General features: G+C 42.8%; 1 protein-coding gene across 13 annotated transcripts in view, besides 1 other annotated feature; it reads left to right on the top strand.

Moving 5' to 3' along the window:
• Positions 1-14,305, top strand: part of PAX5 (paired box 5) — a 201,000-nt gene that overhangs the window by 74,491 nt on the left and 112,204 nt on the right. The gene's annotated exons all lie outside the window — the stretch shown is intronic.
• Positions 11,595-12,119: an enhancer, noted in NCBI's record as "H3K4me1 hESC enhancer chr9:36947656-36948180 (GRCh37/hg19 assembly coordinates)". NCBI's record gives its function as "activates a minimal SCP1, AML or CMV promoter by ChIP-STARR-seq in naive H9 embryonic stem cells {active_cell/tissue: H9 hESC(naive)}" and the evidence as "EXISTENCE:reporter gene assay evidence [ECO:0000049][PMID:30033119]".

Here is a 14,305-nt window from a genome sequence, read left to right as displayed (position 1 = left end):
GCACAGGCTGCCCACTGACTCTTAGAGATGGATAGTTTCCTGGAGATGCAACCTGGGGGTTCAATTTGATCATGCAAGCAGCTGAGCATGAGTTAGGAGGTGCTAGCACGGCCACATGAACCAGTGTGATCTCAGGAGGCATAAACAGAAGTCTAGGGTGGTGACTGTCCCATTCTCCTCTGAGCTGGTTCTGTTCCTCTCACCCTGCCTCTCTCCTCGTGGGGCTGTGCTCAGGGCCAAGCTCCTCCTTTGCAAAAGTAGAGTTTGTGCGGAAGAGGCAACTGAAAATTCTTACCTAGGAAGAATGACTGGAGAAATTTGGGCCATTTGGTCTGATGAAGAGAAGGCTTGAGGTTGTGGGCAAGGAAGAAGACAGGCTAAAAGAACTCACTAATAGCCCAAGCTTTCTGACAGTGGAATGGGCCTCCTTGTTAAGTAGTGAGCTTCCCATTGCTGGAGGCATGCAAGTAGAATCTATCCATTTTCATACATGTGGTTTTAGAAGTTTAAGAATCCAGAGAGCTTAATTATCTAAATGCCAATGCCTTTCCAACCTGAAAGAATGATTCTAAGATAAGAAGAATGAGAAGGGTCTGGTGGGAAGAGGGGAAGGAGTAGAGAAGATCTTTTACACTGAAGCACCGGAAGGGGCACTGAAGGGCAGTTCCCCTGAGGAATCCTCACTAGGGTGGACAAAGAGGGTCAGTCTGCATCACAGGAGCCATGGCCCTGAGCAGCAAAGGGGTGGGGACTGCAGGGTCTTGGGAGGCCATTGGATGACTCCAGCTCCTCTAGTGCAGGGAGCAGGGCTGGGGTTCTGGTGAAGATGCCAGGGCCAGGATACTGGTGGCTGCTGTCAGCCTTGCTGCCTCCAGACAGTATCTGGCTTCCTCTGCCCAGGAGTTCAGGGCCAGGTCCCATGGGGGAGGAGTAGGCTGGTCAGCACATTAGCAGAAAGTGGTATGTGGTAAGTTGGTGAGGTGCGAGGGGACTTGTGTGCTGGGGTCAGGGCCTTGGATTGTATTACCTTGAGAGCAAAGAGAGGCCTCTGTGAGATTTTAAATCAGGGAATATCAGGATCCAATCCAACACAGAGTGGAAGATTACTCTTGCAGCTGTGAGGAGACTCGGAGAGCTAGGGGACCAGGAGGCGATTGCTAGGGTATAAGCGACGTTGCTGTACCCCTGAAGATGGCTGCCTGGGTCTAGCTTCTCTCCAGTCCGTAGTATTGCCCAAAAAGTGTGGCCCCATCATGCACGGCTTCTCTCCTTTCCCTTCTGCTCCCCCACCTCCTCACACTTCCCCCCACCAACCCTCCAAGTCTCCAGCCAGGCCCCCGTAGTTCCTAGAGTTAGCTTGAATTTGATTCTGAGCTTCCTGATGGTCAAAGCAAAATGGGAAATGCAATCAGTTGTGTTCTTCTCATTGTCCACCAGTGGAGGAGAGTCCAGTTCCTCAATGGAAGCCATTTTTTTTTCCTGACATTTAGAGTGGAAGGAAATTTTCACATGGGTTTTCAGTGGGTAGACCAGTGAGGCAATGGTCACGGTCCTCAACAGCACATTTAGAGGCCCTGCAGTAGGTTGTATAGAGCTTGTCTTATGGATGAGTATGACGCCCACATGCTAATCAGTGCATTTCTGCAGGGGCAGGGCTACTGTGACCATGAGGCTCAAGAAAGCAGCTTTTCTGATAGCCCAACTTAACTAAGAAAAAATCCCAGACCCTCTAGGGTAGCTCTTCTTAGATTTTCCAACTTGATGCTCTGGGAAGATACGCTTTGGGGCTTTGAGACCTCCTGCCACCCAGAGGGTACCCCTGGGAAAATGTCCTCCTTAGGTGGAAAAGTTTCAGTCTATTGGAAGGTGCCTCCAGTGGTCACCATCAACTGCATCAGCTCAACTCTTGATGAGAATAAGAATTTCGTAGTTTGCGTTGACTTCTCTGGTGGGAGCTTGGTAGGCAGGGACTTGGGGACTTGAAGGAGGGAGAAGTCATATGTTTTAGAGATTAAAGAAGGAGATGGTAGGCTGGATGCGCTTTTGTTCAGGACTTCCCAATTACCATAGCACGCATAGAAAGTGTTAATATTTGCGTAACACACTGGGATAAACAGGATGCTCGTGGCTGGAGGCAACTGACCTACAGGCTTTAGCTTCCCCACATGTCCCCTGGTCATCCAAAGGCTGACAGAGTTTGATATCTTGGCACACTATTTGTAAGGCTCTGCTTTTGTGGAAAGGAAGAGTTGGGGTTTGGTTGGAGCTTTGAATCTTCTTTCTTATTCTTCCTCTGTAGGGTTGCCAACCTAGCAAAAATGGACAAGGTATTGATTTGGGTACTGAACAAGTACCCAAATACTCACTCCATACCTTCCCAACCGTTTCTAGGGGCTCTGAAAACCTGAGTTGCGCAGTACCACTTAGGCTTAACTTAAGCACCCCTTAGAGGAGACCTAAAGTGAAGCTTCTGGCACGTTATTTCCCAAACTGACTGCCCTGTAGAGCAGACCCTCCCTGGCTTACCCACCCAGTTGCAGGAGGGGAAGATGGAACTGAGAGACGGACTTAACTGGGCCTTCCTATGGGAAACCTGAAGCGTGTAGAAGCTTGAAGATCCAGAGAAGGGCTTCTGAGCCGCAAGGCACAGCGATGCCGCCCACCAGCGAGCACAGCTAACTGCTTGTCCTGGGCTCTGACCAGTCGGATAAGTGACTCCTCCCATGGCAGGGAGCTATAAGAGGGTGGAAGTGGGGGGGACAAGGCTTCTCATCCCAGTTGTCCCCAGCAGGAGGAGAGGAGGTAGAAATACCTTCCTGTTCACTGAACTGCTTAAGATTTAACTTGGACGCTATTTTGCCTTAGGAATGAGATAATCACAAGGATTATTCTGGAATTGTTGCTCCCTAGATCTCTAGAAGTGCCGGGTGCCTCTAGACCAGCCATACTCTCCCTTATTCTATTTATTCTATTGTCATCATCTCAAAGTGACCCAAGGATGAAAATTACATGGACTCTATGGGACCTCACTTGATTTGCTGCCAAGAATATTGCCTGGGGATGTCCATTTGTCTCTAAGTAGCTTTTGAAATATTTTCTAAACAGTTGAGTAGTCTTTGTCTTCCTGTGAACCAAGCACAAGGACAGCTCCCCAGTAAAAATCGTTCCTGCTTTGTAAGGGAGGGGGATGTTTGAGGGAATACTGGGCAAATTGCCATAGTGAAAAGCGTGGGGTTCTGGGCTTTAGTGATGGCTCTTAGGCTAGTCACTCTGGGTCATGGTTTTTGCATTTAGGGTGGGAGATTGCCCTGGGTCATCCTTGAGATCCATTCTAGCTCTAACATTCTGTGAGTGATAAAACAAATGGGAAATCCATCACTTATTTTTATTTTGACTTGTTTACAGTTTTTCCTCCTGTCTGTTCCACTCTTTTTGATGACAGGCAAATTCTGTGTTTGTGGGATTTAAAGATTACAAGTGAATTGTCAAAGAGCTGCCTGCACCTTGCTCGGTTGTTCTTTCATTCATTTATTCATTCATTCATCCAAGAAATTTTTACAGATATGCCATGTCAGTGACATTGACCACCTGTGCTGTGTTGTGTGGCATAAAGTAACAGCAATTGATGCAGCCAAAATACTGTGTGAGAATTGACTTTTGAGTAGAGATATTTCCCCTCAAACAAGGCTATCCAATATTTGCAATTCAAAAAAAAGACAAAAGAACAGCTAATTTTGGTCTTACACCTTGTTTGTTTTGAGGGTGTGTCGGAAGTTTGACTTAAGGAAGTCGGCTATTTACAAAACTCTTAAAAAACAATAAAAATAAACATTTATTGTTTTGTAAATTATTTTTTAAAAAAGAACGTAGATTTCTGATTCTTATAACAAGATCTGAGCTATTGTAGGCTCTCCTATTGCAAACAATTGGATCAAATATAACAATAAAGCATTATATATATATGTGTGTGTGGGTATATATATATATATATATATTTTTTTTTTTTTGAAACAAAAAGAGGGAAATCCTCAGTGGCTGTAATTTAAAAGGCAGCTCAAAGCCAGAACTTTAAGTGCATGAGCTAATGTCCTGGTGGCCCAGGGTATGGGTTCTCAATATAGTCTCTAGTGAACAGGGGCTGGGGTTTTGATGCTGATGTTGAGACAAAAGATGTAGTCTTAGAATTGTGTGATATATAGGAGTGGGAACCAAAGCTCCTGCAAAAAACTAGAAACCTGGAAGGGCTGCACATTCCATGAAATGGGCACTAGGTAAGTTTTACCCACAAGCTGAAGGAGGCAGTAGGGAAACTTGATTCTACATGGGACTCAGACAAAAACAAAATATTTCTAAAAAATTCAAGGATGGAAATAATATAAAAACTGGAGGCATATTAGTGAAATCACTGAGATGCCTCGCAGATGCATATAAAAAAACTTTCATCTGGCTCCTTCCACAATTTAGTATGTACAACATGCCTACAGAATAAATAATAACTACTAAATAAGCTCACAATTTAAAAATGTCAAACCACCCAAGAAAATGAGGGAAAGTTAGGAGACATAACGGGCAAAATGAGTATTCCAAGAATCCAAGATAGCAGACAATTTGAAAGAGACTAGAAAATGATTAAAGAGATGAAAAAGACTAGAAACCATTATAAAAGAATAAAATGCCATGACAAAAGAAGGAACAGACTAGAAAGAGAATCAAATAAATTTTCTAGAAATAAAAATTATGATGTGAGAATTAATTAAAAATTCAACTGATGGATTAAATACCAGATAAGACATAGCTGAATAGAAAATTACTGATTTGGGAGGAGACAAAGCTGAGGAAATTCTCAGGAACATAGCATAGAAAGCTAAAGAGTTGGGAAATATGAAAGAAAAAGGTAAGAGATAAAACAAAATATCATGAGAAAGTCCAACATACACCAAATAGTTGGCATGGAAAAATAAAAACAGAGAAAAGAGGCAATATTTGAAGAAATAATAGCTAAGACTTTGTGAAACAAAACTGTTGCAAGAAACATGTATCATTAGATTGAAGAAGCATACTAAATCCCAAGCAAGTTAAATAAAAATAAACAGACATCTAAGCAAAACTTTAGTGAAATTGAAGAACATCAAAGACAAGAGAAAATTATGAAAGCAACCAGAGAGAAAGTACAACATTTAGACTGACAGGGCTCTTTTTTCAGCATTGTTAGAAGTCAGAAGACAACAGAAAATATCTTCGAGTGTTAAGAGATAGTAATAATTACCTCGTACTCAGATAAATGATCATTTAACAGTGAAGGCAAATAAAGACATTTTCAGATAATGGCAGGGAGAGTTTACCACTCACAGACTCTTGCTGAACTGCTAAATCATGTACTTCAATAAGAAAGATATGAGAGACTTGCAGTTTCAGCTCTGACAAGTGGAGTTTTGACACCATTACTCTGATCTTTACAATAAGAAGTAAAGCTGAACAAAAGGAAAATCAACACGTTTTCTTGGCCTAAGTCATAAGAATACAGAGTTACAGCTGAGATCTGCCAGATTAACATGAAACCTTACTTTAGTCCAATTACTTCATGTATCATGTACAACTTTCAACAAAATATTAGGCAAGAAAAAAAAAAGTAAGAAGAGACAAAGTAAGCATCAAAATCAGACTCAGACTTTGGAATTATTAGATAGGTATATATTTTTTTCTTTTGAGACAGGGTCTTGCTCTGTCACCCAAGCTGGAGTACAGTGGCATGATCTCAGCTCACTGTAACCTCAACCTCCCAGGCTCAAGTGATTCTCCCCTCTCAGCCCCCCAAGTAGCTGGGACTACAGGCAGCACCACCACGCCTGGCTAATTTTTGTATTTTTTGTAGAGACCAGGTTTCACCATGTTGCCCAGGCTGGTCTTGAACTCCTGAGCCCAGGTAATCAACCTGCCTTGGCCCCCCAAAGTACTGGAATTACAGGTGTGAGCTACTGCACCTGGCCAAGATAGGGAATTTAAAATGACTATAATTAATATGTTAAGGACTGTAATGGAAAAAGTAAACAACATACATGAATGGATGAGTAATGTAAGCAGAGAGATGAAAATTCTAAGAAAGAATCAAAAGAAAAATAAAAAACACAGTAACAGAAATAAAGACTTTCTTTGCTGGGCTCATCACTAGACTGGACACAGCCAAACCAAGAATTTGGGAGCTTGAAGATATGACAATAGAAACTTTCCCACACTGAAAAGCAAAGAGAAAAAAGAATGAAAAAACAAAACCAGAACAGAACACCTAAGAACTGTGGGATAATTTTAAGAGGCATAGCATATTTATAATTAGGTTGCCGGAAGGAGAAGAGAGAATGAAGAAGAAGAAATATTTGAAATAACAATGGCTGGGAATTTTTCAAAATTAGTGACAGATGCTAACCAAAAATGCAGAAAACTTAGAGAACACCAAAATATCTACATTAGGCATATAATATTCAAAAGCCAGAATATCAAAGACAAAGAGAAAATCTTGAAAGAAGCCAGAGGTAAAAATTACCTTACTTATAGAGAAACAAGAATAAAAATTACAGTGGATTTCTTGTCAGAAACCATGCATACAAGAAGAGAGTGGAGTGACATATTAAAAGTGTTGAAAGAAAAAGTTCACCCACCTAGAATTTTATATCATGGGGAATTATACTTCAAAAGTGAAGGAAAAAATAAAGACTTTCCCAGTTAAACAAAAATGGAGGAAATTCATCACCAGCAGACTTGGTCTAGAAGAAATGTTAAAAGAAGTTCTCCAGAGGAAGGAAAATGATGTAGTTCAGAAACTCAGATCTACATAAGGGAAAGAAGGGAGTTGGAGAAAGAATAAATGAAGGTAAAATAAGACCTTTGATTTTTCTATTCTTAATTGATCTAAAAGGTAACTGTTTGTGTAAAGTAATAATAATAACAATGTATGGAGTGATTTATTACATATGGATAAGTGAAATGATGGCAGCAATGTCCTAAGGGACAGGAATGAGGAACTGGGAATATTCTATTAGAAGGTACATGATTGAAGAGGAATAGTATCATTTGAAGGTGAATTTAGATTAGATATAAACGTATATTGCAGACTCTAGGGAAAGTACTAATACTTAAAAAAAGAAATATAATTGAAATGCTAACAGAAGAGATAAAATGGAATTGTATGACACGTTCAGTTGAAACCAGAGAAGGAAGAAGAGGAGACGTAAAGAAACAAAGAACAAGTTCAACAAGTAGAAAAGTTACAAACGTAGTAGATATGAATCCAATTATATCAATAATCACTTTGAATGTGAATGGTCTAAACATACCATTGAACATATTGAAACCCCGTCTCTACTAAAATGCAAAAAATTAGCTAGGCATGGTGGCATGTGCCTGTAATCCCAGCTACTTGGGAGGCCGAGACAGGAGAATTACTTGAACTTGGGAGGCGGAGGTTGCAGTGAGCCGAGATCTCGCCATTGTGCTCCAGCCTGGCTGAAAGAGCAAGACTCTGTCTCAAAAAAAAAAAAAAAAAAAAAAAGGGAGATGGTCAGAGCATATTAAAAAAACAGAAGGACTCATCCATATGTTGCCTACAAGAAGGATATGAAATACAAAAGGAGAGAATGGGATTTAAGAAGTGATGGTAACCAAATACATAGATAAATGAACAATAATCTAAATAGGTTTGTCCAATAAATAATATCACCTGTAAAAGTAATTCATAGTTTTGGAAGTTTAAAACAAAGTAGGAAAAAAGGCAATAATAATATGTAAGATTGGGAGGAGGCTGATCTAAGTTAAAACATTCTAAGATTTTTGCATTTCATAGGAGGAAGATAGATATATTGATAAACGTTAGGCTGTGTTAGGTCAAGGATGCCAGTGAGCAAATTAAGGATAACAATTAAAGGGTAACCATTATGGTAATAGAATGCATAATGTGCAAACCAGAATAAGCAAAAAGAAATATTTAGAATACTTAGTGGATCCAATAGAAGGTAAGGGAGAAGAAAGGTAAATTAAAAATATAAAATTACACAATAGAGGATAGAAATAAATAAAAATATTTGAGTAGTCTCGATAAATAGATTGGATTTGCAAGATAAATAGAAGACGTGTAAAATAACCAAGACCCAGAAATGTGGTGTTTTTAGTAATTAACCTAAAACAAAATGGTACTGAAAGTTTGCAAGGACTGAGAGAGGAAAATATGGCAATACTAACCAAATAAAATGTGATAGAGTAATCTCATTATCAGATGATATAAACTTTAAGGCCCAAAGTATGCTCAAAGACAAAGAGGATTATTGCTTAATGATAACAAGAACAATTTGTAGGAAAATATAACAATCCTGAACCTGTACGCACTTGGCAACAGAGTCTCTAAATATTTAAAGCAAAAAATGTCAATGAACAAATGAACAAATCCCATGATATTTTGGGGAGACTAAAATGCCCCTCTTGTTAATGAATAAATCAAGCTGACAAAAAATTGGCAGGGATATTTGTAAGTTTTGCACAACATAATTAACAAGCTTAATAGAATAGACACATGAAAGGACAACAATTAGAGAATACTTTGCTTTTTGAACTCCTGGAAGGAATACTTCCATGAATGCCCATTTATCCTGCCCCCTACTTACACCACCCTACCACCCTACTTCCCTACCCCCAAATATGTCTTATAAGGAACTTGTAGAGGAAGTGGAACTGGCTGGCCTATAGAAAAGAAAATTCATGCAGTGGCTCACGCCTGCAATCCCAGCACTTTGGGAGGCCGAGGTGGGCGGATCACGAGGTCAGGAGTTTGAGACCAGCTTGGTCTCGAGATGGTGAAACCCCGTCTCTACTAAAGATACAAAAAATTAGCTGGGCGTGGTGGTGTGTGCCTGTAATCCCAGCTACTTGGGAGGCTGAGGCAGGAGAGTCGCTTGAACCTGGAAGGCGGAGGTTGCAGTGAGCCAAGATTGCAGCATTGCGCTCCAGCCTGGATGAGAGGGCAAGACTCCATCTCAAAAAAAAAAAAAAAAAAAAAAAGAAAACTCAGTGGATATGCAAGAATGTGATCTGATCTCAAAAGGGCTCCTGTGGAGAAGGAACAGAAGCAGACTTCTTCGTAGTTCCAAGGGGCAGACCCAGGATTTAGGTGGAAATTACAGAGAGGCAGCTCTCATCTTAGTTGAAGGAAACCTTCCAAGCAGGCGAGCTGCCTAAATGTGGATTGGGCTGGGAATCTTCTGTCGCTGAGAGTGTCTGGTGTGGGCAGTGAGGCCACTTGGGAGGAAGACTGAGGAGGGGTTTCAAGTGTCAGATTGGGGCTTGGAAGAGGTAACCACCAGGGTCCCTTCCAGCTCTGAGCTTTGGCATTCTGTGACGCATGTGGTTGCATTTCCTCTCTTCTATTTTGGAGAAAAGATGAATTTGTTGATTCTTTCCCAATGTCTTGGCTATGAAACCAAATGGGATGATTTTATTGAAGATCATCACATAGTCCAGCTCAGTGTCAATGCTTTTAAGAAGGTGCAGACCCTTCTTGGGTCAGGGCAACAGAATTGGTGATGTTTTCATTTCAGGCTCACCAAGAGGACAGATAACTTTATCTACCTGTTGGTTACAGTAGTTCAAGGGTTCCTGGCAAGAGCCGGCTCATCAGGATGAGAGCATGCAAGGAAGATTATGACAAACAAGCTTTCAGAAGGAGCTTAGGGACTTAGATGAGTTCTAAATGACAGGTTAATAACGGTCCTATCTGTGTCCATCCATGAGGCTGGAGCTGGGGAATGGAGATTAAGGTCAGTGGAGTCAAAGAGGTGTCGCTTAGGGAGGTCGAGGGTAGGTGAAGATCGTGGTGGGAGGTCCCGAGGAACGGGAAATCTGCCAGGAGGAATGGCCGCATTTCACTAACAGTATGAGGGGATTGGCTTGGGCAGATAATGTGGAATTCTGAGGAGATGCTGTGGTAGGATGGTGTGGTGAGCAATGGCATGGAATTTTGCAGACCCCATGCCTGGCCCAGAAAGGCCTGAGGAGAGGACGGTGGTGTGCTTTCTACTGGGGAGTGCGTCAGGGACCCATGTCTGGAGGACTGCTGGAAGTAGCATAGTGTCATGGTTAAGAGCACAAGCTTCGGAAGCAGCTGCTTGTGACTTTGCAACCTGTTACGTTAGTTTTGAGCTCACGTAATCTCTTGGGAGATTGTGGTAATAAAAGTGAATGTAGGCTTACCTCTGGAGTCTATGTGATTCTTCCTTTATTCCTAGCTTTGAGAACACTGGTTATTATCACATCTCAAACAAATACGAACTTTTCTTCCTTTGTGTACAAAGTTATTATTTCCAATCTACTTGGCTTTACCACTGCTTTATCCTCAGTTTTCTCATAAGTAAAATGGGGATAATAACAATACTTGTGTTGGCCGGGCACGGTGGCTCACGCCTGTAATCCCAGCACTTTAGGAGGCTGAGGCAGGTGGATCATGAGGTCAGGAGATCGAGGCCATCCTGGCTAGCATGGTGAAACCCCGTCTCTACTAAAAATACAAAAAATTAGCCAGGCGTGGTGGCGGGCCCCTGTGGTCCCAGCTGCTTGGGAGGCTGAGGCAGGAGAATGGCGTGAACCCGGAGGCAGAGGTTGCAGTGAGCCGAGATTGTGCCACTGCACTCCAGCCTGGGCGACAGAGCGAGACTCTGTCTCAAAAACAAAACAAAACAAAACAAACAAAAAAACAGCAATACTTGTGTTGTAGGTGGTTGTACTGATTAAACAAAGTTTGACAGAGGGTTCAGCCCATAGTAGGTACTCCAAATGTTCCTTTATTATCATTGTTATTATTATTAAGGAGTGTTCTGCCACATCAGAGGTTCTACAGGGCAGAGAGTCAGGGTCATGGTGGGAAAGGGATCAAGAAAGCTCAGGTGGGTAGGGCTGGGTTGGGCAGGAAAGGAGTTGGAGAGGAGGCAGGAGGGAGTTTGCGCAGGGAGACAAAGTGGCTAAGAATTGTCTTGGTGGGAGGGAATGAGAGACAGACCAGAAGGCCCTATCTGACCTGCAGTGATGGGGCATTTGCACTGGGGAGTTTCTGGGAACTTTTTCTTCCCCAGACTTTCTCTGTTTTTACTGTTTGCTTGGCTACAGATTACACAGGCAAATGAGCCCAGGCTTCCAGGGAAATATTCCATTAAAGCAATCAAAATAACAATTTGTATCACTTTTAGAACTTCTGCCTGAGGAGCTAAGAAATCTTTGTACTAAATTATTAATTCTGGGTTGTACTGTAAGGATCTTCCCCTACAAACAAACAATTTAATATTTCCTTTTTGGTGCAACAGAGGACGAGTTCTCCGGTCTCCCAGATCTGCCTCAAAAGGAGGGAGGAGGTATTTAAACCCAGACTGTGATACTTCTAAGGAAACTGCCTAACAGAATGTGTCCCGTCCCTCTCGGAGGAAGGGATGGACTGTCAGCCTCGGTAACCTTGTTCTCAGGGACACTCGCCGCTCCCACTTATGGTCGGGCTGCACCTGTGCTGGCCACATGGCAAGGCGGTAAGAGCCAGAGCTCTGGAGTCCCTGGTCCTGGAACCTGGCGTGCGTACCTGCTGGCTGTGTGATTGGGATAGTTTGCTCCCCCTCACTCAGCATCAGTTTCTCCATCCACAAGAGGAGGGTAGCCATGCCGATATGCTAGCACAGAGCTGGTGTGAGGCTCCCGTGTGTCTCCAAAGTCTTGGACAGTGCCTGGCACGTGGGAGACGTTCAGAGGATGTTATTTATTATTATTTGCATTCTCAGGGAATGTCTCAGTGATATAGACACGGCTCTGCCTTTCACCAGGGGCAACGGGGGTGGGGTGCACAGAGAGTGTGTGGGGAGGAGGATGAGGAAGAGGGTGCCAGGTAGGGAAGTGGAAAGAGGAAGAAGAGAAAGAACAAAAGCATGGAGACATATGCATATGCGTTCAGTCTGGGAAAGGGAGAGTAGTTTCAGGTGGCCAAAGTGTGAGGTGTGCTGGGGGTGGGGGTGATGGTTTTGGAAATTCTGTTAAAAATATATATATATATGTTCACACACACATATGCGTACAAATATAATATAATGAAACATCATATAATATGTAATACAGTAATGTAATATCTGGACAGTGCATATCCTTAAATACTTTCACTTGAGACCATTTGAGACCAGCCTGGGAAACAGAGCAAGACCCCATCTCTACAAAAAAACTAAAAGTTAGCCAAGCGTGATAGCTACTCGGGAGGCTGAGGTGGGAGGATCACTTGAGCCCAGGAGTTCAAGGCTGTAGTGAGCCATGATCATGCCACTGGACTCCAGCCTGGGTGACAGAGTGAGACCCTGACTTTAAAAAAATAAAAAATAAATAAACAAATGAATACGTAAAATTTCAGGAAACTGAGGAAATGGTACTTGATCCAAAGCAAGGTTTAAAATTTTTACATTGCATTAGCCTGACAGGACATTTATGGTAGGTTTGGAGCCACAGTGTAATTTTTCATCTTTTAAACATCAGGGCTTGTCACTTTGGATGTTGGAGTATGAGGATCAGTGATGGGCCTGATGGTGCTGCCTCTGGAGCTGCCAGGAAGGGGAACGTTGCTTCCATAAGGGACATCATTTTAGGAACAGGCATATTTATTTATATGGGCTCCTCTGAATAAATTCATTTATGAATAGAATCTGGATGTCAAATTATAGCACATGGAATAAATCTGGAGAAATCCTGTGATATATGTGCCCTGGGGGCAGCACTATTCACTGTTATCCTTTTTCTGGGCTTCTGATCCTGTTTAGAATGGGTTTTTGGGATTTGGAAAAAGTAATCACTTCCCTCCTGTTTTGGCCCTGCACGTGGCTGAGTCATCATTTTACACTGTGGCTTGGGGGTTAGGAGCAAAGGAGCGGGAAGCAGCCATGGGGCTTTCCAAGTTGGTTGGGCCCTGCCTGCTGGTGGTTGGTAAAGAAGTTGCCTCAACTGTCTCCTGGGGATGCTTCCAGGCCAGCTCACCAGTGGATTTCAAGTAACTCAAAATGGACTTAAACCGCAAAGTGTCCTGGTGACCGTAACCTATCTCTAGCACGTAGTTTTCCCTTCCATTACTGGTAGTCAGAAAGCGCATCTATGCTGTGGGGCAAAACAACTCAGACATGTTCACACATGGCCTTGAGAGACAAACCTCTCATTGCTTTGGAGAAGCTTAGCTACAGGAAAATCTTACAGGACAACTGACATTGGTCATTAGATTCCCCTCATGGGCAGATTTGAGGTCAAAATTTCCAGAGGTTTCAACCTGATGAATGTGGCCCAGGTTTTGGCTGGTTGTGGGGAATCTTATTTTCCAGCACTACACACTGAGGTCAGCTGCTCGGGTTTCTCTTGATCTCTCAGTGGTTCCCATGAAAAGTTCCCTGATTTACAAATTCGAGCTGTCCATCTGTGCACCGGGAGAAACACACGGAAATGCTCGAGGCAGCGCTGCTTGGCATTGCGGAGTTCCTGAAGCTCAGGGGCAGCTGGGCCATGGCCCCTCTGCGAGCCTCAGGGAGTCACTTCCTGATGGAGCACTGCATCCTGACGGAGCACTCCTCAGGGAGTCGCTTCCTGATGGAGCACTGCATCCTGACAGAGCACTCCTCAGGGAGTCGCTTCCTGATGGAGCACTGCATCCTGACGGAGCACTCCTCAGGGAGTCGCTTCCTGATGGAGCACTGCAGAGTTTCCTGCGTGCTGTTCCTTTAGGGGGAGGTATATGTGTGCATCTTGGTGTAGAGAACTCAAAGCTGAACACTTTCTAGCCCCTGACCATGCTGTTTTGTAACAATAGAGTACAAATGATGTGCCAGGCACTGATCTGGGCAGTTTGCCTGTATTAACTCATTAAATTCTCTCAACAGCCCTGTGAGGCGGAGACTTTATTTTAATTTTACAGAAAAGGAAACTGAAGAACAAAATAGTTAAGTAACTTTTCCAAGGCCTGCAGCTGGTAAGTTGTGCTGCTGGGATTTGAAGAGCAGCTTCTCTATCTCATTCAAAGAGTGGCCCAAACAATTGGACCGGCTGATCCAATTTGCCAGAAACAATGGCTGTGGATCAAGCATTCTAAAATAATAGTTACTATTTTTAGGATCTGTTTCTTGTGTTAAACAGATCTATAAATAGCAATGCCCTTTGATAGGTTACTTGATTTGGTTATCTTGGCATAGATGTCATCTTGGAAGGTATGGGTACAGTGGCTTACACCTGTCATCCCAGCACTGTGGGAGGCCAATGTGGGAAGATCACTTGA

Source organism: Homo sapiens, chromosome 9 (assembly GCF_000001405.40).
Source record: "Homo sapiens chromosome 9, GRCh38.p14 Primary Assembly".
Taxonomy (NCBI): Eukaryota; Metazoa; Chordata; class Mammalia; order Primates; family Hominidae; genus Homo; species Homo sapiens.
The sequence above is the reverse complement of the archived record's forward strand: the minus strand, read 5'-3'. Positions and strand labels throughout refer to the sequence as shown.